The sequence below is a fragment of the Homo sapiens genome, chromosome 11, assembly GCF_000001405.40.
Source record: "Homo sapiens chromosome 11, GRCh38.p14 Primary Assembly".
In the NCBI taxonomy this organism is placed as follows: Eukaryota; Metazoa; Chordata; class Mammalia; order Primates; family Hominidae; genus Homo; species Homo sapiens.
The window spans coordinates 21,531,742-21,555,368 of NC_000011.10; the positions used below are offsets into that span (position 1 = coordinate 21,531,742).

Genomic DNA, 23,627 nt, shown 5'->3' on the forward strand with positions numbered 1-23,627 from the left:
GCTTCTGTCTTGTTTGTTTGCCTGTAGGGAGTGCTGACTGGGAGAAACAAATCTTTGCCTCTGAGGACAAAGGCAGCCACAACCTAGCTTGGGAAGAAACCATCATTTATAATTTGTAAATTCCCCAAAGTGTTGCTGAAAAGCCTCCAAGTGTTTTCTATATTTGGGTCTGTGATGGTTGCTTTATATACTACTGTGACTACCTACACAGAAGAAAGCCAGTGTTAGGAACACAGTGAAAACGTGAGCCCCTCTCAAGTACAATATGGTACATAAAAATGAATTTTCTGGCTTTAATTATAGACCTTGCACAGAGAACAGAAATGTACAGCCTAGGCACCAGCATGTGATGTGAACCTGATTATTTCCAGTGAGTTTCTGGAATCGTCTGTGAAAAGTACAGTTGTCAGGCAAAATGGGCTTCTCCACTACTTTCTCATTTCCCATGCAAGCCAGGGATTCCCTAGTGTCCCTGGGGAAGTTGTAGATGTGTAACTGTCTGATTGTCTTCACTGCTTTTGAAAGACTCCTGTGCTATACAGATAACTTCTGCCCTGCTGAATCATGGAAACTCCTTATCGTTTCATTTTGGGAATAGAAATATCTGTGAATTGAAAAAGTATTTGCACATCATTCAACACTTCTGTTCTTCCTAGAAATGTTCTATTGAATTTAGGGCTGAAGGAGTTACTTTATTTGATCAGATAATTTATCCTCCAAACTCAGGTGTTTTGAGAGTAAAAGGGAAGTAGATATAAACTAGGACTTTTCCAGGCAAACCAGGACATATGATTGCTTTGGTTGAGATGCTTCTATTTGTGTATCTCCTGATTTCCCAAAACGCTAACCATGGCTATTACCTAAAGTATTGTCCACAGCCTGTAGGCAACAGGGTCTGTGTTAATCATGACTGGTTTTTCTGAGAGCTTTGGAAATAAATGTCAGAGGTAGAATTGGTTGCTGCTTTGTTACAGAGAGTTATCCTTCAGCCTAACATAGAGAAGTCATCTCTATAATCAGCCGTCTGTTTATATGTGTGTCTCTTGCCTGGTATTCAAAAAGCAGTGGGCTGATTGTGTTATTTAGAATAAGCCCTTTCCCTCCAGGAGCCACAGCCCTTAGTCATTTCTCTACTTGAAGTTTTAAAGTTTTTAGTGATCCAACATATGTCCCAGAGAACCTGGACCTGTAAAATTTGAGGTATGACAATCTACATGGTGATTGGAAATTTATTTTCTGGGAATTTATAATAAACACACACAGCCTAACTGCAATATCTGAAGATCCTATACAAATATTAGGCCCTAGGGACTGAGGGCATTTAGAAGTCTAAGGGATGATGTATGTGAAAAGATTTAATGGGCTGAACAATACATGCTACAGAAGAAGAAGGTGACCATTGAGTTGGAGTTGCACAGTATGAGGAACTACACCTTTTCTCTCTTTACTTGGCCAGAATGCCTTGAGATGACATTACCCAGTTTCAAACTAAATTAACAGCCCGGTGCACAACATGGGACTTGTCAAGATAATAGAACCAATGGTAGCTGATTGCCCCTGAACTGATGCTTCTTATAGGCCCTGTTAAAAGAAATTGCAAAGTACATTTTGTTCATTATGGGTTAGATTCCAATGTTAATTAAATTTATATTCATATGAGTCCCATATTTCAGATATTTCCAAGACAAGTCAAAGAAGATTCCCAGGCAGCAGTAGCTACATTCTAAGAAATAATTACTTGGAGAAATTCTGTTACAATGAACTGAACCCGGTTTAAAAATTGGCAACTCTGTTTTCTGCAATGGTGTCAATCTCCTTCAGTGCAGAGGCAAGGCTTTGTGCTAGAAAATCTATACATGAACCGGGTATTTGGTGATTCTAAAAAGCCAGAGCCTAGACAAAAACAAACAAATAAACAAAAAAAGCCTAGGAGACTTCCTTTCCTCAAGAATGATTGAAGAATGAGAATCTCTGATGGACTAGCATAATCAATCCATAGTTTTAAAAGAAATAGAACGATAGTTCCCAAACTGTGTTCCCCACAACACTAGTTTTGCAAGATATTAAAGGTATCCCAAGAAAAGGTAATTATTAGCTAAATAAATTTCGGAAACAGTGTGTATTATCAATCTTATCTCAAAGCTTTGCAGGACATATAATTATGACAAGTCTCTGGGGCTGTCATTTAAAAAAATCAGTTTAATAATATTTAATCCAGAGTGTCCTGAACTTATTTGTTCATAAAAATTTTCAAAGGACACACCATAAAATCTGGAATTGCCAATTTAGAAATTTTTAATCCAAAAAAAAAGTCATATACACCCAATACCAAAACTGTGCCAAACACCCTCAACCTAGTTATTCAGAGACAACACAGCTTTTGAGTTAGGATTTTTTTGTGACCATAAGCTCTCATTCATTGTTCAATATGAGAGAAAACATCCAAGAATGAAGCTTTCAATTCATTTGAATTCTGGAAAATATGGGATTTGCTTCTTCCAGTGACTTTCATTGTAGGTGACTAAACAGTTTTAATTGATATGTTGACATGAGCATGTTTTAGGCATTTCCTGAAAGGTTAGTGTCAAAAGAAATTAATATCCTGGTGGGCTTGTGTTTTTCTCTGAGGCAGATATTGATGAATGTTCAGAGGGAATCATTGAGTGCCACAACCATTCCCGCTGCGTTAACCTGCCAGGGTGGTACCACTGTGAGTGCAGAAGCGGTTTCCATGACGATGGGACCTATTCACTGTCCGGGGAGTCCTGTATTGGTAAGCAGCTTTCAGGCATGCCCTCCAACTGCTTGGACCTTTGCAGGAGGTGTGGCTTGCTTTGGTACTCTGTTCAGCTCCCAGTGTTAAAATATGACCATTCATTGGTTAAATGCATCAGTTTTCAAATTTTCTCCCTCTACAATTCAGGGATTAGGCCAGGGATCATGCAAAGTGGGGTGCTAGAATTTTTATATAGAAACTGTGACAGAGGAACAAAACCTGGGTCTATATGTTATGGCTTTGTTCTAAGGAAAACCTTAGTCTTCTTAATTCTTTCTAAGGAAAACCGTGATGACTTGCTGAAATTTTTGACAGTTTGGGAGGCAACTGTAGAGATGAGGAAATGTTAAATAATACTGGATACTGGATTTAGATTAAGAAAGTTTAGTTTGAATCTCATCTCTTATACTGCAAGAGTCACTATAGTCTCTAATCCTTCATCTGTGTATATGTAAAAATGAGGATAACAAGATACATATATTAAGATTAAACAAGAATACCACCTATTTAAAAATTGCAAGATTTGAATTGATGCACATATATGATATAGTTGCATTAACATTATTGTTGCTATTACCGCCACCATCATCTCTTGAAAAGTCTGCTTTATTGGGTCTCTTCTTGTGGTTCTGTTAAATACTGAACACGGGAAATTAGCAGATGGAGTTATTCACCTTCAAGACCTTACAACTTTCATGAAATCCGAACAACTGATCAAAAACATAACTGTTTCCATGAGAACCTTAGCCAATCCAATTCTTTCATGTTGTGTCACCTCAGTTGAATTCTTAATGCTGATTTGGACCAACCTAGGGGCCAAGCATTCTGACCTTGGGCTCCCAAAGTTTAGCTTGCTGAATTAGAAAGTGGGAATTTGATTTTGAATATTTGTTTTCTCTGCTTAGGGTATATTGTTTTTTTTCTAAAGGCTGCTGCTGAGATATAGTCAGTGTTTTTTCAACTTCTCCACTGATGTTGATGTAAAGCAAAGATGAATTACAGAACAATGGCCACGTGGCATGAATTATCCCCCATAGTCTTGACATTATTGTTGAGAGGCATGCAGTATAGTTACTAAAAGTATGGACTTTTGGACCAGATGTTGGCAGTCAAATTCTAGCTCTGCTGCTTCTAAGTCATTTACCATGGGTACATTTTTATCCAGTCTGTATTTCAGCTATCTCATCTGTGAAATTGAAATAATGTTTATATGTTTTTGAGATGAGTGTTGTGATAATTGAGTTAATATCTGTTAAATGTTCAAGAAATGTTAGCTATTATTTTAAATGTCACTGTGTATTCAGCATTCTACCCCATACTCTGTTCATATTTCTTTTCCTTTACATACTGCCAGGTACTTCTGTACATATGCAGCTCATTGTAAATCAATGTTATATGAATAGGAACAGGTCAAATGGCTATTGTTGAGGAATGAAAATGGAATATTAACATATGACATTAAGCATGGTGGCTAAAAGAAAATTTTAATTTTTACAGATAATATTTGACATCATTAAAAGGGGAGACTCTTAGATTTTTTAGTGCACAAAGGACCTTAGAGACCAGCTAGTTAAGCCAATTTTATTTATTATTTTTTCTACTTTTAAGTTCAAGGGATTCATGTGCAGGTTTCTTCCCTGGGTAAACTGCACATTGCTGAGGCTTGGTGTACAGATGATCCTGTCACCAAGGTAGTGAGCATAGTACACAATAGGTAGCCTTCCAAACCATACCCTTCCCCTTTCTTCCCTCCTCAGGCAGTCCTCAGTATCTTTTGTTCCTATCTTTGTGTCTATGTGTATTCAATATAGTTAAACCAATTTTATAACTGTTTGGACCTGCCATGGGACTGCACACTTCTCTGCCTTTATATACGTTGTCCCTCTGGCTGGGATGAAACATGATGATTCACATATGAATTTCATTTTCCTAAATTTAGCTCACGTTTCACCAAGTCCCCATGAAGTATTCTTTGATGCCTTCCAAAGACTTGTCACTCCTTTCTTCTGCTAACTCTAGATCTATCTTTTTCCTTGGTGTATGTTTCAGTAGCTTCACTTGTACAATATATTTGCTCTCTGACTAGACTATTGAGCAGCGAATGGGCTTTTTTCTTCTGTTTCTTCAGTGAGGCCCTTTGGTGGTTGTTGTTTAATAAATGTGAAAATTCAATCATATCATGTGATCAATAAAGACACTCACTCTCAGAAAGGTGACACCTCATTCCCAGCCACATAACTGGTTTGGATACAAGTTGAGGATCAGACCTAGGTCAAGAGAACATGTAGGAATAGTTTCAGTTTATGCCTCTTGTTTCAATGTTACCTGTAGAGCCCTATCACCCTCATAAATGTCTCTGGCACCTGTCCTGGTGCTCATTTCTCTCTAACATGCTGAGTGGCATGTCTGAAGGATGCGGTAAAATTCCTGCACTCTCAAGGAGCGTCTTTCTTCATCTACAACCTGATCCCTGTTTTGCAAAGGAAAATGTCAGTGAACTGGACTCCTTGGAGTTGGAGTCATTGGATTAGTGGCATTTTTAATTTGGGTAGTAGTCTGAATTTCTTTTTATTTCCACACTTTTGGGAAAACATTTGTAAATGATCCTTCATCAGGACAGAAATCTGACCCTCACTTAGTTATTTCTGTGGTAGTTGGGAGTACTCTGTTGGTTCAGAATATTTCTTGGGCAAACAACTATGTAAGTCAGATAATGACACTTTCTTCTTATGGCCTTCTAATGCCTTCCCAATGAGTGTAAAATAAATTTCTAACTTTATATGGCCTTCATGGTTTTAGATGATATTGTTCCTGCCTGCTTCTTGGACTCATTTCCTATATATATAAGGCTTTTTGATCTTTTCATGCCTTGAACATGACAAAAAGCTCATTCCAATTTCAGGGCCTTTGCCTTTACTGTTCTCTCTGTCTGGAGCTCTCAACACCTCTCTTGTTGTATGGCTGCCATGTTATTAGGTCTCAGACAAATGTTGCTTCTTCATGGAGACCCTCCCTGGCTTTTCTCTGAAATAATCCTTCCCTACTCACTTTGTTATAATACTTTTATATCTTTTTAGCATTTGTATTCACATGCACATGTGTGTAATATTCTCTTGCCTCAAACAAGTTGTTTGAGGGCAGAGACCTTGTTTGCCTTTTACTACTGTACTCGCAGCCCCTAAGATAATATAGTCAAAGAGAAGGCATTCAATGCATGTATGTCAAATGATTGAAGGCATGGATGTTCAAAACTGTATCAAATCAGATTTATTTTCTATTTTGTTTGATATAACTAGTTGTGTGGTGTAGATTGTGGTGCATGACATGAGATGTTAAATATCACAAAACCATGAGTCTTTTATTTAAAAAAATGTTTATTGAGAACAACCATCATACCAGCACTGCCTTGAGTCTTCTGGGAATATGGTTATGAACAAGTTAAGATGTCAGTTCTTGAAGGATTAATGACCTGACGTACTCTGGATCTTAATAACATAGCTTAATAGCACTGAAAATGAGCACATCTGAATAAACCCTAAATAATATCAACCACTAATGCTTACATTTAAAAGAAATATCAGCATCTAAAATAACCCTTACAATTTTTTTTAAAAGTGGTTTGTAGCATATACTCAGCTATGTTTTTTTCTTCAGACAATGGCATATGTTATCATCTAAAATGTATCAGTTTAGGCTTTTAGAAGAATAGTCTCATGTCACTCTATGTCACTTTTTGTCAGATGAGGATAATAGCACCTTCACTACTGATTTTATCCATTATTGTAAGCTTGAATAATATTGATATCATAAAGAACAGCATGCTTGCAAGATTTCTTATTTTATGAGAAGAAATGTTTAAGATTTGCCTTTTTCTCTTAAAGTGTAACATATGATTGAAGAAATGGCCAGTCCTAGTATTGCAGAGGCAGATAGAGTCACTATTCTTGAAGAGCTTATCAGAGTTAGTCTCTTCTGTCTCTCTCTCTGTCTCTCTCTTTGTCTGTCTCTCTTTAACTTGTATATCTTTATAATGCCAGGAGAAAATAGTACACAAAAATTTGTAAATTAATATTTGCAGAAGATGATAATGACAGTGATTTGTTGGCACTGTAGGGTACAATGCACTCTGTGTTTTGATGCAGTGGTAGGAGTCAGTGATTCTCAGTTTTAATATAGAAGTTGTGAGCAATTGCTTTTTTGTCTAGGCATAGTTATCTGGGTCATTTAGAAATGAGAAGAACTAATATATAATTAACAATGGCATGTATAAGCAGCAGTACTTTGCATATTTTAAAAATAAGATTCAGACTCCTCGGAATGTCAATCAGTTTCCACAATATTGCTCCCACAAATGAAACTTTATTTTCCTTTGTTCTCTCATATACTTTGCATGGATACTGGAGACTACTCAAATTCTTATTCTGCTCTTCCTAAATCCTGCATTCTCTTTCCTCTACTCCTTTGCTTGTGTGCTTTTCCCTGACTATCCCCATAGCCCCATTTCCATTAGTTAAAATCCTGATGAAGTCTTACTCTGTAAAGCAGGGATTCTCAAAACTGTGTCATGGTAGATTCACTGGAGTAGTGAAACGGCAGAGTTCCCTGACCCCCTTAGTAGGACTTGTGACAAAGATGTGGCTTGTCTGATCACCTGCCATGTGCTCCCAAACTCCTTATGGGAGGGAGAGTATACAGATGTGCAGGAGCTGGGGCAAGCACTTTTGGGCTCTGGCCCCACAATAATATCTAGGGATGGGTGCCTGAAACTCCTAAAGCCCAAGTGGGTGTGTGTTACACTATGTTCTGTTAGCTTTGCTGTGTACAGGCAGTAAATGGCTCATTGTACCCTCTGCCTTTTCACAAGGACAGAGGGCCAGTGTGACGGCTTTCTGTATCTCAAGCTCTTGTCTGGTGTCCAGGAAAAATCATATTACACACGGACTTGAAGGATGGTGAATGTGGGATTTTATTGAGTGGTGGAGGTGGCTCTCAGTGGGATGGATGCGGAGCTGGAAAGGGGATGGACTGGGAAGACGATCTTCCCCTGGAGTTTGACTGTCCAGCAGCCAGACACTCCTCTCTGAGTGTCCCCAGCCAAACTCCTCTAGACATTCAGATGCTCCTTCTCTTCTCTCCTCTGCTGCTCTTCTGTTCGTCTGCTCATCTGCTTGTGGAGCCTGGGGTTTGGGGTTTCTATGGGTACAGGATACCCATAGATAGCCCATAGGGTGTACAGAATCCTGGGTACAGGATACCGATAGGGTGTGGTGGGCCAAAAGGCAACTTTTGGTTGCGAAAACAGGAATGCCTGTTCCCATTTAGGGCCATTTAGGGCCATTTAGCCCATTTAGGGCTCCCTTTGCCAGGGAGCTGCCCTCTTCTACCCAGTATTTCCCTGTCTCCTGTCCATATCAGTAGCTTTTTAAAAATGCCTGTGACGGGACATCACACATCCTGAAGATTCATATTCAGTTGGTCTGGTGTGGGACCTAGATTGACACCATTTTCTAAAATTTGTTTAAGTGTATTTTTTATAAATTCATAATATTTTTGCATATTTATGGGGTATATGTGATATTTTGTTACAACCACAGAATGTGTAATGATCAAGTCAGGGTATTTGAGGTGTCTATCACCTTGAGTATTTATCATTTCTATGTGTTGGGAAAAATACGAGTCCTGTTTTCCAGCTATTTTGAAATATATAGTACATTGTTGTTAATTATAATCACCCTACTCTGCTCTCAAACATTGTAACTTACTCCTTCTATCTAACTGTATGTTTGAACCCATTGACCAACCTCTCTTTAACACTCATTCCCCAACCTGCACACCCTTCCCAGTCGCTGGTATTGATCATTTTCCCTACCTCCATCAAATCAATTTTTTTAGCTCCTACACATGAGTGAGAACATGAAATATTTACCTTTCGGTGCCTGGCTGTATTAGTCTGTTCTCGCACTACTATAAGGAACTTCCTGAGACTGGGTAATTTATAAAGAAAAGAGATTTAACTGGTTCATGGTTCTACAGGCTGTACAGGAAGCATGGCTGGGGAGGCCTCAGGAAACTTACAATCATGGGGGAAGGTAAAGGGGAACCAGACATGTCCTACATGGCTGGAGCTGGAGGAAGAGAGTGAAGGGGGGAGGTACTATGTACTTTTCAACAACCAGATCTCATGAGAACCCACTCACCATCATGAGAACAGCCAGGGGAACATCTACTCCCATGATTGAATCACATCCTACCAGGCCCCTCCTCCAACACTGGAGATTACAATTTGACATGAGCTTTGGGTGGAGACACAAATCCAAACCATATCACTGGCTTATTTCATGAAGTCATTTAAAAAAAGACTACAAGTGATTATTAGAGAGACAATTTGGCCAATGTAGAGAACTACTGACATTCAGTTCTTCTAATAATAAGAATAAAAATTTCTCCCCTCTTATTTGTCTTCATAGCCGTTTATTTGCCATTCTTTTATAGACTTTAGCAGATTAGACTTGTGTTCTTAATTACGTCTTTATCACCTACAGTACAATTTAGGTGTTTTTTGATAGATTTTTATCAATTAATGTTGAATTAAATTGTATTGGTTGTGTTATTTTTACCTATCATATAAAATGTTTCATTCACAAGAAAGCCCATGTTGTTGCTGGAGACACACTCCAAGATGACATACAGCTATTCTTACGGGACTGAATACCTGTTGGCCTTCCATTGTTATCTGCTTTATAGCACTTAGTTGGGTGAAGCAGTTTCCTAGACTCTGGAGCCTGCTCTCAGGCCACTGTAAATGGCACAGTGAGGATTTACTTCTCAGAGTACTGCTGAAACCATGGTCACCATGCAAAGCAATATGAAACAACCAAAAATGTTCCGCTGAAATCCCTTGGGAAAGAAATTTCCATTTTATCTGGTGGATGTGTCAGGAATAATTGAAATGGCCTAAGAATGATTTTGCTTTGACTGCTTCTGCTCAGTGCCTGTTTTTCATAGGAGTGGCGATAAAAAGGGGTAGAACCTGGAGGTGCTCTATCTGTAAAAATGCTCTCAGTGACAAACCTCACTGAAGGGGAGGGGAGCTATGAAGCCTTTGCAGGCAATACTGTGATGTAATGGAGAGGGGTTTTAAGGACATTAAGCCTAGATTCAGTCCGAAATCGGCCTCTTTCTAGCTGAGCAGCATTTAGAAAGATATTTAACCTTTCAAAGCCTTAGTTTTCTTAGTGTGCATTAAGATAATACTTACAATGGAACTTTTTCTAATATGTGTTTTTATATGCAAATTTCCTGACAAGTATTATATGATAGTCAACATTTAACCTCCCTTCACCTCAGTTCCCTCACCTGTCACATGAAAACAATAACAGTAATACTAATAAGAGATAACATTTATTGAGAGTTTTACTTTGTGCCAGACACTGCTCTCAGCAATTTACAAAAGCATCAACCTCATACGGGTTGCTGTGGAGTAATCGTGACAATTAAGTGAGCAAACAAGGGAAAGAAGCATTCAGCACTTAGGTTTTAAGCAGGCAATAGATGTTATTTTCATTAACCGAACAACTACATGATGTGCTAGACACAGAACCAGGAAATTTCATGTATTTTCTAATTTAATTTCACAATGACCATAGGAGGAAAGCCCTCTTACTATCCCCATTGTAAAGGTGAAGAAAATGTGAGCTCGAGGACGAAGAGAACTTGTCCCAAATTCCGCAGCTGATAAATGGCACACAGAAGCCATAATCCAGGTGTGTTTGATCCCAAAGCTTCTGTTCTTAATATGTTCACACTGCACTGCTTTCTGGAAGGGAGGAGAACAGTGATGGGCTCATAGGTAGAGGAGATGTTAGCCAGAGCAGTTGGAGATTGAAAATACAAAAAAAGGGAGCATGAGAGAAAACAGATGAGACCCAGATGGACAGTTACAATATTATCTCTGTGTGATGAGCACTAGGGACTTATTTTATTCACTGGACTCAAGGGATGTGTTCTGGGGCCATCCTTCTGAGCGATGGGCAGGATAACTACGCGACATGTTTTTGACAGTTAATGTGAAAGCACCTCAGCCTTGATAATACTACTACTGGGATATCCACTGATGTCATTACCTTCTTTGCATTTCTGGTGATGTAAATCCAGAGAAGAAAAAGGAAAGAAAGGGTGGGTGATAAAGAGAATGAGAAAATGATCGGCAGATTTTTAAACCAATTTTTTAAATGTACTTATTTATTATGCACTGCCTCTTAAAAGCAATTAGAATAGTATATACAAAGATCACATGTTCAAGAGTTATTTAAAATACAAATATTTGAAAAATAAAGAAATTATATTAACCAATGATAGTTATCAAAGATGTTCATAAATATCCTGGCAGTCAGAGCAAAATGGGAAACATGAGTATATAAATTATTCTAATTTAAAAGGAGGTTTCATTCATAATCGTCAAGAAGTAAAGTCTCAAGTGTGCTGTTTTTTCTATTCCAGGGAAGAGACATGTCAGGGTGGAAAAGCACCTTAGTGGACCAGGGTATTTCAGACTAAGAAAGTTTAAGAGACAAGGCAGAGACACTAATCCCAGAACACTCATGGATTTTCTCTCTATGCTAAACAATAAGACCCACCCTACACATAAGATATTTTTTGGTTAAATAGCATGCCACCTTTCTTTGATAATATTTAGTGTGGTCTCATTACTTCAAAATTGTTGTTTCCAAAGAGCTTTACACACAGTTTTATCAAAGTACTAAATTCTGTATTATTGAAGAGCCTTGCTTAAGGCAGATGCCACTTAACCATGGAACTGTAAGGAATCAATATGAAGTAAATGCAAGCATGATTTTGGGAATCAGAGGGCCTCAGTTGCATGACACAAAATTGCCACATGTCATTAAAAGTTTCAGATGGACAGAGAGACCAAGACCCAGACACCACCTCAGTATGGAATGGATATGGAAAAAGATCAGTATTATCAGGGTGCAGAATGGAGAGGTTAAGAACATTTTGCAACATCTAATAGAAAAGAAAGCTCTTCTGGGTCCCCCAGAAAGGACCTTACAGTGGACACACAGTGGCAGATGATAAATCAGGTGAGAAATGAATCTCATCAGACCCTCTGGAAGCTTGCCTGCTCCTTTTCTAGTCCTGCCATACATAGATAAGCCTGAAGCTATTTAGCATGTGGGCTAAATTGGATACATTTTAGAGACTTCTCTGGGAAGACAAGCGCACCTCCTCCGTTTCGATGATAATCACTTCACAAAGTAACATCAAAATAGAGTGCATTACACTAGACTCGGGCATGAACCCAAGGTTCATTCATTACCCACAGCCTAGCTGGGCTGACAGAGCAAGCCTATAAGTTGTTTTCTATGTGTACTTTCTAGGAGTTTCTAAACATTTCTGGGAGTTAGTCTAACAGAACCTCAGATGAGCAGTAGGGTCTGTCCTGTAAGCCATTATGAACCTGTCTATTATCTTTTCATTCTCAGTCTTTTGAATATCTTCCTAATGGCAACTATGACTAGTCATAAAGAAAAAGAAAAAAACTACAACTTTGGACCATGACATGAAGCAATACAGGCATATGGGGAGCCAGGGGAATTGCAATTCTAGTTCAGGTGAAGTTCACATGGGCAGTAATGATAAGGAGAAAAATTAGAAAACTTACAAAAACCTTCACAAGTATTGGGATGTTATTATAAGTATTATATCCTTAAAAATATCCTACAGTGGTTTTAGCACTAAGCTAGGTGGTAGGTAGGATGCAGAAAATTTATACCATAGGGACTTTTAAATTCCATGTTGAAGACAAAAATAATCAGCTTACATAAAACAACCAACAGCCTTCTGATATAGGTTATACTTTAAAATATGGGGTCAATGCTATAAAATATATAGGTAATTAGGGAAGAAAGTGATTAGAGAATATCAAAGAACAGTCATAACAGAATTCTTGGGGCTGATTCGACCTGAAGGATGGAAGGGTTTAGGTATTTTATAGGTATAATAATAAAAGTAAATATTAATATCTAAGATTAATTACTTCATGTTCTAGGTGCTCTTCTAAGAGCTTGACATTTCTTTACTCACTTTATCCTCAAAACAACTCCACCAGGTAGAAATATTTATGATCTCTATTTAATGGACAAAGAGCCTGTACTTTATATTATGAATGTTCTAAATGTATTTGGTCATATAACCCTTTCCTCTCCTGGGCATCTTATGGATTTGGTTTCTATTATTATAAAACACACTAATTGAAAACTTGAGAATGAATATAAATTCCTATTCTAGGAATTTATAGAAAACCTTATTTGCTCAGTATCATTGAATAATGAGCTGTTTCAGATGAGGTTTTTTTTTTCCGTTCTGTGGCAAAAAATGATTGCATACACTACTTGCTCTATAACTATCAGAATGTTTCTACTATCTTAACTTTGGTGTAAGGATATCCTTCCAATATATGTCTATTTGTGTATTACTTTTTTAAAATGTGGTCACTAAAAATGTGAATTACTCAAAACAACTGTTGATTATTGAGTGACGTTCTAGTGGTTTATTGAGGTATAGCTGGTTGGTCCCTAAGTTAAATGTTCCCAGTCATAATGTTTTTGACAAACATATTTCTTTTTTACACAGATATTTTGTCTTCTTTCCACATTGTCAAGCTAATCTCTATTTTTTAAAATGACATTTACGAGGTTGCTCTCCTTTCCACTCTGATAAACTAAAGAGTTGGTTATGTGATGTCTCAGACGACAGGACCTCAAAGTCCCAGAAGCCTTTGGGGATAAAAAAGGATTGTGAAGCAGGATTTCACAAGTGCTGGATGACAATTTTGTATTCTGTGAATTGGCCTGGTGGGAGTGCTGAGAAAGGAAGACATGGGTTGGGGACTTTGAGACTTTATTGGAGAGCTGGAACTTGAAGAGTAAGAGTTGGGTAATACACAAGGAAAAGATTAATACGTTCCCCTAAAAAGGTGCTTTGTAGTGTGGTTATGGTTTTAGGGTCCTTTCCTCACTGTGAACCTGACATTTTTTGGAAAACAAGCAACAGGAGAAGCTTTTTAGTTTTCTGAACAAGACCTTGAAGTTGATAAGCAAATTGTTCTTCATAAGTTTTAAATGTCTTTTTTCTTTCTTCCTGAATAGCTGGCAGTCTCAACTGAGTGAAAACAGAATGAGAGGGGGCATTTCTGAAAAATAGGTTTTCCTCAGATCCTATTACTTCCTGTGAACTCAGTGCCCCTTGTAGCTTCAGGCAGTAATTTTAGAAGTATGATCCTCAGACCAGCATCATGGGAGTCGCCTGGGAACTTGTTAGAAATGCAAATTCTGTACCACACTCTCTAGACCTTCTGAATCAGCAGCTCTGTGGGTAAGGGCCTAGTGATCTGTGTTTTAATGAGAGCTCTCATTGGTTGATTCTGAAGCTCACTGAATTTTGAAAATACTGCCTTGGGGTTTTCACTGAAAGCCCTCAGAACACTCTGAAACTGTATGCAAGCTTGTGTATACATCTGTGCCTACATCTTCTGGAGGAAATGGAACCATAGTTTTTCCTGGGATCTTGGCCACTAACAATGTGAGAACCACTGTTGAAATACCAGGATCCGGCCTCAATGTTTCCAGTTACCACTCTGACTCTGATTTAACTTATAAGTATTTTCTTCCTGAAGATTTATAATTCAGTCTCAGGGGAGATTCACTGCTTTCCTTTGTCAGTTTCTGAGCACTCCTTGATATTGAATTCCATGTAGTTTCAGCTTCCTGCCTTTTTGAGGCTCAGTGTGAGCAATTGTTTCATTACAGAAACTCCTGGCTTGAATGTGTTAGAGCCAAAGATCATGTCTAAACAGCAATTCAGAGATCATCATTGATATGGTTTGGCCATGTCCCCACCCAAATCTCATTTTGAATTGTAGCTTCAATAATCCCCATGTGTCATGGGAGGGAACCAGTGGGAGGTAACTGAATCATGGGGGAGGGTTTTCCCTGCTACTCTCATAATATAGAATCAGTCTCACAAGATCTGACGGTTTTATAAAGGGCAGTTCCCCTGCACACACTCTATTGCCTGCCGCCATGTAAGAGGTGCCTTTGCTCTTCCTTTGCCTTCATCATGATGGTGAGGCCTCCCCAGCCATGTGGAACTGTGAGTCAATTAAACCTCTTTTCTTTGTAAATTACGCAGTTTCAGGTATTTCTTTATTAGTGGCATGAAAATGGACTAATACAATTATCTACAATTTCTTTGAAATGAATATTGAATAGTTTTTTGTTCTTACCCTGAGATTACTCAAGCTGCTGTGAAATATTTACCTGTGGGTTTATGAGCAGGGAATATTAAACTATAGTATTCAGACCAATTAAAGCAGTGTCAGCATAAAATCACTAGTCATTTGTTAAAGGAACATTCATTGAGAGGGTCTGGTCAGTGTTAGTTCCTGTACTAAGTCTTAGGCATACAGAGAGGAATATGACACAGTCTTTCCAGTCTGGAGTGGGGACAGTGGAAGTGGACAAGGATTTGGGGAGGTTGTATTGTGGACCAGCTACATTATAAATCAGTAAAACATAAAAGACTCTAAGAAAAAAGCAACTAACTTCTCATGGAGTGGGGATATTTGGGGATGGCAATGTATATGGTAATCTTTCACAGAAAATATATTTGCACCAGGTCTATTGAATGAGAAGGATTTTTTCCAGGCGAACTACTCATTAAAGGATCTGTTCCAGGACGTGACAGCAGCCTGATTATAGATGTGGTCATGAAAGGAATCTAATTGCGTTCCAAGGATGGTGAGATTTCCAGTGTAGATGAAGCACGTGCTTCATCCACAAACCCTATATGGGTTTGACTTAGGTGAGGAATAATTAGACCACAGCCTTTCAATAGAGGTGGAGACCAGATTGTGAAGGGTAGTGTGTTCTAAGCTGAGGAGTTGCAAGTTTTGAATTTTGTTTCATAATATCAGTGTTATATAATATTGTTGTGAAAATGTGATCATTTGTAAAGAAGTCACAATTTTTAATATGACACATAATTACGCAAATGTAGTAGTACTTCCCATAAAATTTCAGATACTCTATCATAAGTCTATCAATGTGATTTTCTGCACCTGTTTCTGCTGTTCCTTTTGCTTCAAATGACTTTCTTCTGAAAAAGTGAGGCCCTCAGAATTAGCCAGCTATTGAACATAATCATTATCAAGCAACTACTATGTGTTAAATTTGTCCTAAAATTCTCATAATGAACCTTCAAGTTTGGTATGACTTCCTGCTTTATAGATAGACAAACTGAAGAACAGTGAGGTCTGAATTTTCTCATTGCCACGTAGTGAGTAGCAATTTCTCAGCTGAGAAATTGTGAAAATGACTGCCTAAAACTGTTTGGGGACACATGTAAGTAAGAGTTGGATTCAAATACAAGTTTCTACCGATTCCTAAATATACAATCATGGCGCAACTGAAACTGGATCATTTTCCTGCTAAAAAAAAATCCTCAAGATAATGAGAGTAGCATTATCAAACTATTCATTTAGCTTCTCTTTGAGGAAGAGACCATGGCAGAGCAAACAGTATGGTGCCATTGTAATAAATGGTCCAGGTAGTGGAAATGCAGAGGAGTGAATAAGTGGCATTATGGGGTAAATGGCAAAGAGTCTATCTACTCCAATAAATTGTAATGGTTTTTAGATAGAGGCATGATTTAATCATTTTATCATTGCCTTTTATAAATATTAAGTATCATTAATATTTGGAGAATCAATGTATAGGTTGTCATGTTGGAGATTGTATTAGTTTGTTTTCACACTGCTGATAAAGACATACCCAAGACTGGGGCAATTCCAAAAGACAGAGGTTTAATGGAGAACTCACAGTTCCACATGGCTGGGGAGGCCTCAAAATCACGGTGGAAGGCAGAAGGCACATCTTACTTCTCAATAGGTGAGAGAGAGAATGAGAGAGAAGTGAAAGCGGAAACCCCTTATAAAACCATCAGTTCTTGTGAGACCTATTCACTACCATGAGAACAGTCTGGGGGAAACCATCTCCATGATTCATTTATCTCCCACAACATGTGGGAATTATGGGAGCTACAAGACGAGATTTGGGTAGGGACCCAGAGCCAAACCATATCAGAGATTTACCATCTAGTCTTTGCATAAGGTTACTGTGTTTGTATTCTACAGAATTGGGAGTCAACCATTGGTTATGAGGTGGGACAAGCCTGGCTTTAAGTTAGGATGCCTGCATTTGTGTCCTGACAAAAGAATTCTAGTTGTGTGGCTGGCCCAGGGCAAGTTACTTGACCCTTTGTTACTCTTTCTATACCTCTTACACTGGGGTCCTAGCATTGCTGAAAGCATGCTGCTGCATACAAGATAACACAAAAGCAGGAAAGGAATTTTACTGTACTCCATGGTTTCAGGAAAATATGATTTCTATATAAACAATCCTGACTATATTATTAACTAGAAGACAAAAATAATTTTTAAAATAGAAATATAAAACTTCAAATATATTCTATACTAATACATAACAGGGTTTATGAATATCCAAGATTCCAAGTGAGTGTTCACTCTTTTTGCCATGGAGATAACTTTGGTAGAAATGTTTGAGAAGCAGTGATCATTTAAGTGACTCTCAGTTTGGTTAAGTGGCAATGATGTTGATACAAACATTCTGAGTATTTTGCAAGGACAAATTAGATCATGAGTTTGAAATGGTTTTGAAAATTCTAAAGAGTATAATGTATAAGAGTTTACTAAGGTATTGTTATTATGCATAACAAAAAGATAAATCTCTGTTATATCAAAATGTGTTAATCAATCATAACTCAATAAAAGTACCTAGGGTGGCCAGGATAGCAAACCATCTGCAGGTTCTTGAGGAAGATACATGAAAGATACATGATTCTGTTGTTTGTTTCCTCCTATTGTCTTAACCTTCCAAGAGAACGAATTGTGTCTGTTTTACTTGCTGTCATATTCCCAATTCCTAGAACGGTGTCTGACACAGCAAATCAACATTTGCTGAAAAGTGAATTTATAAAGAGACTCTCAGTGCAGTCATTTTTCTTATTAATGAGTACATTGGCCCCCATCTGTAATTTATCCTAATAAGCTGGGCTCAACCAGGGATGAACTGCCAGAATCTTTTTATTTGTAATCTGGCACCCTGAGTGGCATTAAAGATACCAGCAGTATTAAAGATTTTAAAAACGTAATATGAAAGATTGCCAAAGGTGGACACTAAAGTGTTAAGAACAGATTTTAATCCCTAATAAATTATTGCAATAGGGAAGAGGGCCCAATGTAAACAGAAATGAACTTCAATTTGTGCAGAAATGACTGGGTGTTTTAGAGGGTGAATAAAAGAGTGGAAAAAGAGTGAGGCAGGGGCTTCAACATGAGTCAGGAAAGTGGAATTTACAAAAAGCTGAAAGGGTAGGTTTTTCCCATGAAGCCCATCTGAATTTGTTAAGTGGCACTTAGGGAAGTTAGACTCAACTCCTCCACAGAGACTAGGAGAGGGGTCCTATTTTCAAGTGTTGGCTGAAATAAACAGTAAATTATTTTGGCAGCCTTTACCTTTTCCAGGCAGAAACTTTTGGGGTTTGGAATTCCCATCCTAGTGATGTGACCTTGAGTCATTAGAAAAAATGTTAGTGTTTGAGTTCATTGTAGATTCTGGATATTAGCCCTTTGTCAGATGAGTAGGTTGCAAAAATTTTCTCCCATTTTGTAGGTTGCCTGTTCACTCTGATGGTAGTTTCTTTTGCTGTGCAGAAGCTCTTTATTTTAATTAGGTCCCGTTTGTCAATTTTGGCTTTTGTTGCCATTGCTTTTGGTGTTTTAGACCTGAAGTCCTTGCCCGTGCCTATGTCCTGAATGGTAATACCTAGGTTTTCTTCTAGGGTTTTTATGCTTTTAGGTCTAATGTTTAAGTCTTTAATCCATCTTGAATTCATTTTTGTATAAGGTGTAAGGAAGGGATCCAGTTTCAGCTTTCTACATATGGCTAGCCAGTTTTCCCAGCACCATTTATTAAATAGGGAATCCTTTCCCCATTGCTTGTTTTTCTTAGGTTTGTCAAAGATCAGATAGTTGTAGATATGAGGCATTATTTCTGAGGGCTCTGTTCTGTTCCATTGATCTATATGTCTGTTTTGGTACCAGTACCATGCTGTTTTGGTTACTGTAGCCTTGTAGTGTAGTTTGAAGTCAGGTAGCGTGATGCCTCCAGCTTTGTTCTTTTGGCTTAGGATTGTCTTGGCAATGCAGGCTCTTTTTTGGTTCCATATGAACTTTAAAGTAGTTTTTTCCAATTCTGTGAAGAAAGTCATTGGTAGCTTGATGGGGATGGCATTGAATCTATAAATTACCTTGGGCAGTATGGCCATTTTCACGATGTTGATTCTTCCTACCCATGAGCATGGAATGTTCTTCCATTTGGTTTTATCCTCTTTTATTTCATGGAGCAGTGGTTTGTAGTTCTCCTTGAACAGGTCCTTCACATCCCTTGTAAGTTGGATTCCTAGGTATTTTATTCTCTTTGAAGCAATTGTGAATGGGAGTTCACTCATGATTTGGCTCTCTGTTTGTCTGTTATTGGTGTATAAGAATGCTTGTGATTTTTGCACATTGATTTTGTATCCTGAGACTTTGCTGAAGTTGCTTATCAGCTTAAGGAGATTTTGGACTGAGACCATAGGGTTTTCTACATATACAATCATGTCATCTGCAAACAGGGACAATTTGACTTCCTCTTTTCCTAATTGAATACCCTTTATTTCATTCTCCTGCCTAATTGCCTTGGCCAGAATTTCCAACACTATGTTGAATAGGAATGGTGAGAGAAGGCATCCCTGTCTTGTGCCAGTTTTCAAAGGGAATGCTTCCAGTTTTTGCCCATTCAGTATGATATTGGCTGTAAGGACATGAACAGACACTTCTCAAAAGAAGACATTTATGCAGCCAAAAAACACATGAAAAAATGCTCACCATCACTGGCCATCAGAGAAATGCAAATCAAAACCGCAATGAGATACCATCTCACACCAGTTAGAATGGCAATCATTAAAAAGTCAGCAAACAACAGGTGCTGGAAAGGATGTGGAGAAATAGGAACACTTTTACACTGTTGGTGGGACTGTAAACCAGTTCAACCATTGTGGAAGTCAGTGTGGTGATTCCTCAGGGATCTAGAACTAGAAATACCATTTGACCCAGCCATCCCATTACTGGGTATATACCCAAAGGACCATAAATCATGCTGCTTTAAAGACACATGCACACGTATGTTTATTGCGGCACTATTCACAATAGCAAAGACTTGGAACCAACCCAAATGTCCAACAATGATAGACTGGATTAAGAAAATGTGGCACATATACACCATGGAATACTATGCAGCCATAAAAAATGATGAGTTCATGTCCTTTGTAGGGACATGGATGAAATTGGAAATCATCATTCTCAGTAAACTATCGCAAGAACAAAAAACCAAACACTGCATATTCTCACTCATAGGTGGGAATTGAACAATGAGAACACATGGACACAGGAAGGGGAACATCACTCTCTGGGGACTGTTGTGGGGTGGGGGGAGGGGGGAGGGATAGCATTAGGAGATATACCTAATGCTAAATGACGAGTTAATGGGTACAGCACACCAGCATTGCACATGTATACATATGTAACTAACCTGCACATTGTGCACATGTACCCTAAAACTTAAAGTATAATAATAATAATAAAAAAGTTAATGTTTGTTTGAGTCTTTTAATGAGGGTTGGTGAATGGAGTAGACAAAATCATTTATCAGAGAGTCTGCTCAGAGGAGTCTGACTAGTGTTCAGTCATGGATAGGATCTTTGTTAGTGACCTACTTTGGTTTTCCTTGGAAACCAACTTAGTTTGGCTTATATGATTTTACCTCCCTTAGGGTAAGAAACACAGAAAAAAAAGACAAATTTAAAATAAAGAGAATTTGATCCTCCAAAGTCTAGAGCAGTGGACTCAAGTCTCCTACTCTGTGCTTCCTTTTCCCTTGTCCCCAGAAAAGCCTTACAGATCTTTTCAGAGAATCTTCCTTTCAAATTAGGGGGCAGCCCCAGAGCTATTTTACCGAACCAGTTGTTTGTTTAGCATTTTATAGAAGAAATATGAAGAGAGGATCAAGATTCAAAGGGATAAAATCTTCCAAGAAAAGACACCATGAGATCAAATAAAGCTTCATTAATTAGCTTGTTTTTCTTCTCTGCAGATGCTGCCCTTCTTGGAATGGTGGTTCAAATTACTGTCCTTGATCAATGTCTTAACTCCCCTACTAGGGCATAGTTTTTGGAAAAGCCTTGACTTCCCCTTAGAAGTTTGGAACTACAATACACAGGGCAGTGAAAGGAAATAATAAATAATATGCATGAAAGGACTTGGAATTCTTAGCTCCTGTAATCTGACCCTCCTTTGTTTACATTAAAACCTGGTTTGAGAATTGCTGTATTGACAATGTTTTTAGACCTTTGACTTCTGTGTAAATTGCAGAATGCTTCTTGTAGTGAATGAAATTACTTTGTAACCTCCCTGTGACTAAGACCTTTCCTTGGCACAGAAGAGAGAAGAAATAATTCCTCATCTGAGAACTTGCTTGAGAGAATGATCTGTCAAAATAGAGAGTTAGTTTTGGTTTTCACCTTGGCTGGATTCCCCATGTGTATTTGTCACCGAGGATTACATTGCCAAGGCTTCAGTGCAGACAGGAAAAACATACTTCTTCCTTTGTTGCTTCCTCTCATTGGCACTTGCTTGTAAATACTCATTAAGGGAGAGCAGAAATGTTTCAATAATTATGGAATGTCCAAGAGAACTGTTTAATTCTAAGAAATGCATTTGTTATCCCAAAACTAGTTCTTTCCTTCACCTCTAACCTGCTCTTATTCTGTCACCACTCATATTCTAAAACTTGAATTACAAGCTCAGCCTTACAGAGGTGAAAAGTAATCATATCAAATTGGAAATGGACAAGATCTTAGAAAACATTTTATATAGCTCCTAAATTTTACCAAAGAGAAGCCTGGGGCCATCCAAAAGCAAGGGTTCTTTTTCAACCACAGCTCCACCAAATCTAAACTTAACAAATGTTTATGCATTTCTTATTAGGTGAAAGACACTGTAAAAGCTGCTATGAGAGACATAAAGATAAGACCAGAATCTTACAAATGTGAATGGGTAAGGAAGATAGAAAAGATAGAATGCTTACAGCTAAGCATACAAGAAAACATAAAGCCAACATAGGCAGCATAAAATTAAAATACAGGGAAAGTAATTCTTTTCAGCAAAGGATGAAATTTTGTTAAAGACATTAAACAATATAATGGCTATAACAATACAGTGTGTATAGCTGGGTATTAGTCATTTAGTAGACTGCAGCAATAATACAAACCACCCTCCTACTCATAAGCAGATATGTAAAAACATATAAATCGTGGGTTGTTGACATCAATACTGTAGCCTCTGTGCAGTAAAACTCTGTTTAAACAGCAAGTATTTCAGTATTTATGGATTTTTTATTTATTCTCTCTGCTGGTCAGAACTGTATTGATTTTAAGCAGATTTAATCACTGGTTAAAGAAGTATGACTTGTTCATAGCAGAAAGTAAACCAACTTGATTAATTTAGAAGAAACTTTTCTTCGTCTACAGTAAAACACCTAAATTTGTACATCCTATAAATAAAATGTAATTAGTGACCAAAGCAAGTTCATGGAGTGTAAGAAAATTATGTTTTTCAACATGTTTCACTTAACATCAGATTAAGGCTCAGAGAAAGCTTTTAATGTTAACATTTCTGGGTATGGCTAGCCAATGTACTAATCAAAACCATGTGAATTCATGTGAGAATCAGAATTCACGTGGAAATCCTTGGCAAATCGATGAATGTGTGGGCTGGTTGCATCATAAGAGATCAGGAGTGGTGGTACAGATTTGAGTATATTTGAGTATCTGTCCTGAAGAGATGGGAGAGTGAAATTCATTAAATGAGATTAAATGTATGAGAGAAAAATTATAGAAACAATAGGAACAAGACCAACAATAATAGTGACTAATCATTTTTGAGCAATTATTACATGACAAGCATATCGTTATGTATTTACCCAAATGATTCTATGGAGTATATTTTTATCTACATTTTTCTACATAATGGGACCAAGACTCAGAGATGTTAGGTAAATTTTTAGAGTCGTACAACTAATAAATTGCAGGGATGGACTGGGACAGAGTTGACTCACTTGTCCCTATGGGGCTGGAACTTTCTCAGTTTTAGCACTGAAAGTCAGCTATCTCAGGAACTCCCTCAGTGCCAGGCAAACTGGTATCCGCAGTTTCTGGATTACAAAGGTTAAGCTTTCAATTGGTATGCTATACTTCTTCCACTAAGGAGAAAGAGAAACAAGGACCAGACGTGGAAACTTAGGATATACAAATATTTTTTTAAAATGAGAGACAACTATAAAGTCAATACTTACAGGGCCATATCTGGCTTCTTTGCCCATTGTATCTCCAGCACTTAGCAGTGTATCTGGCATAGAGTAGATGTTAATGGCATAGAGTAGATGTTAAATAAATATGCAGGGAATTCATTTATTCATTGATGAGTACTAGTGACTAGATAATGAAGAGATAATAGGATGAAGAGGGCAATATTATATTCCAGAAGGGTCACAGAGAGAGCTCTTAGACTGAAATAATCAATAACAATATTTGTTATAATACTTTTTAAGCAAGGGTGATGATTTTGCAAACTAGTGGTTATGAGAGACTTCAAGAT

The 23,627-nt window shown here is 37.8% G+C and overlaps 1 protein-coding gene across 4 annotated transcripts in view, besides 2 other annotated features; it reads left to right on the forward strand.

Annotated features, from left to right (window-relative positions):
- The window catches only part of NELL1 (neural EGFL like 1), a 906,136-nt gene that overhangs the window by 862,191 nt on the left and 20,318 nt on the right, over positions 1 to 23,627 (forward strand). For 3 of the 4 annotated variants that reach the window (NM_001288713.1, NM_001288714.1, NM_006157.5), the window contains one exon: positions 2,633 to 2,773. The exons of the other annotated variant lie outside the window; for it this stretch is intronic. In NM_001288713.1, the coding sequence (NP_001275642.1) occupies positions 2,633 to 2,773 (141 nt within the window). The remainder of the gene's footprint in view (positions 1 to 2,632; positions 2,774 to 23,627) is intronic. 4 annotated transcript variants of the gene reach the window in all.
- Positions 248 to 417: an enhancer, noted in NCBI's record as "experimental_20387 CRE fragment used in MPRA reporter constructs". NCBI's record gives its function as "activates a minimal promoter by MPRAs in K562 erythroleukemia cells, with activity observed for both the introgressed and non-introgressed 11:21553620 variant alleles {active_cell/tissue: K562}" and the evidence as "EXISTENCE:reporter gene assay evidence [ECO:0000049][PMID:34662402]".
- Positions 21,944 to 22,113: an enhancer, noted in NCBI's record as "experimental_20421 CRE fragment used in MPRA reporter constructs". NCBI's record gives its function as "activates a minimal promoter by MPRAs in K562 erythroleukemia cells, with activity observed for the non-introgressed 11:21575316 variant allele {active_cell/tissue: K562}" and the evidence as "EXISTENCE:reporter gene assay evidence [ECO:0000049][PMID:34662402]".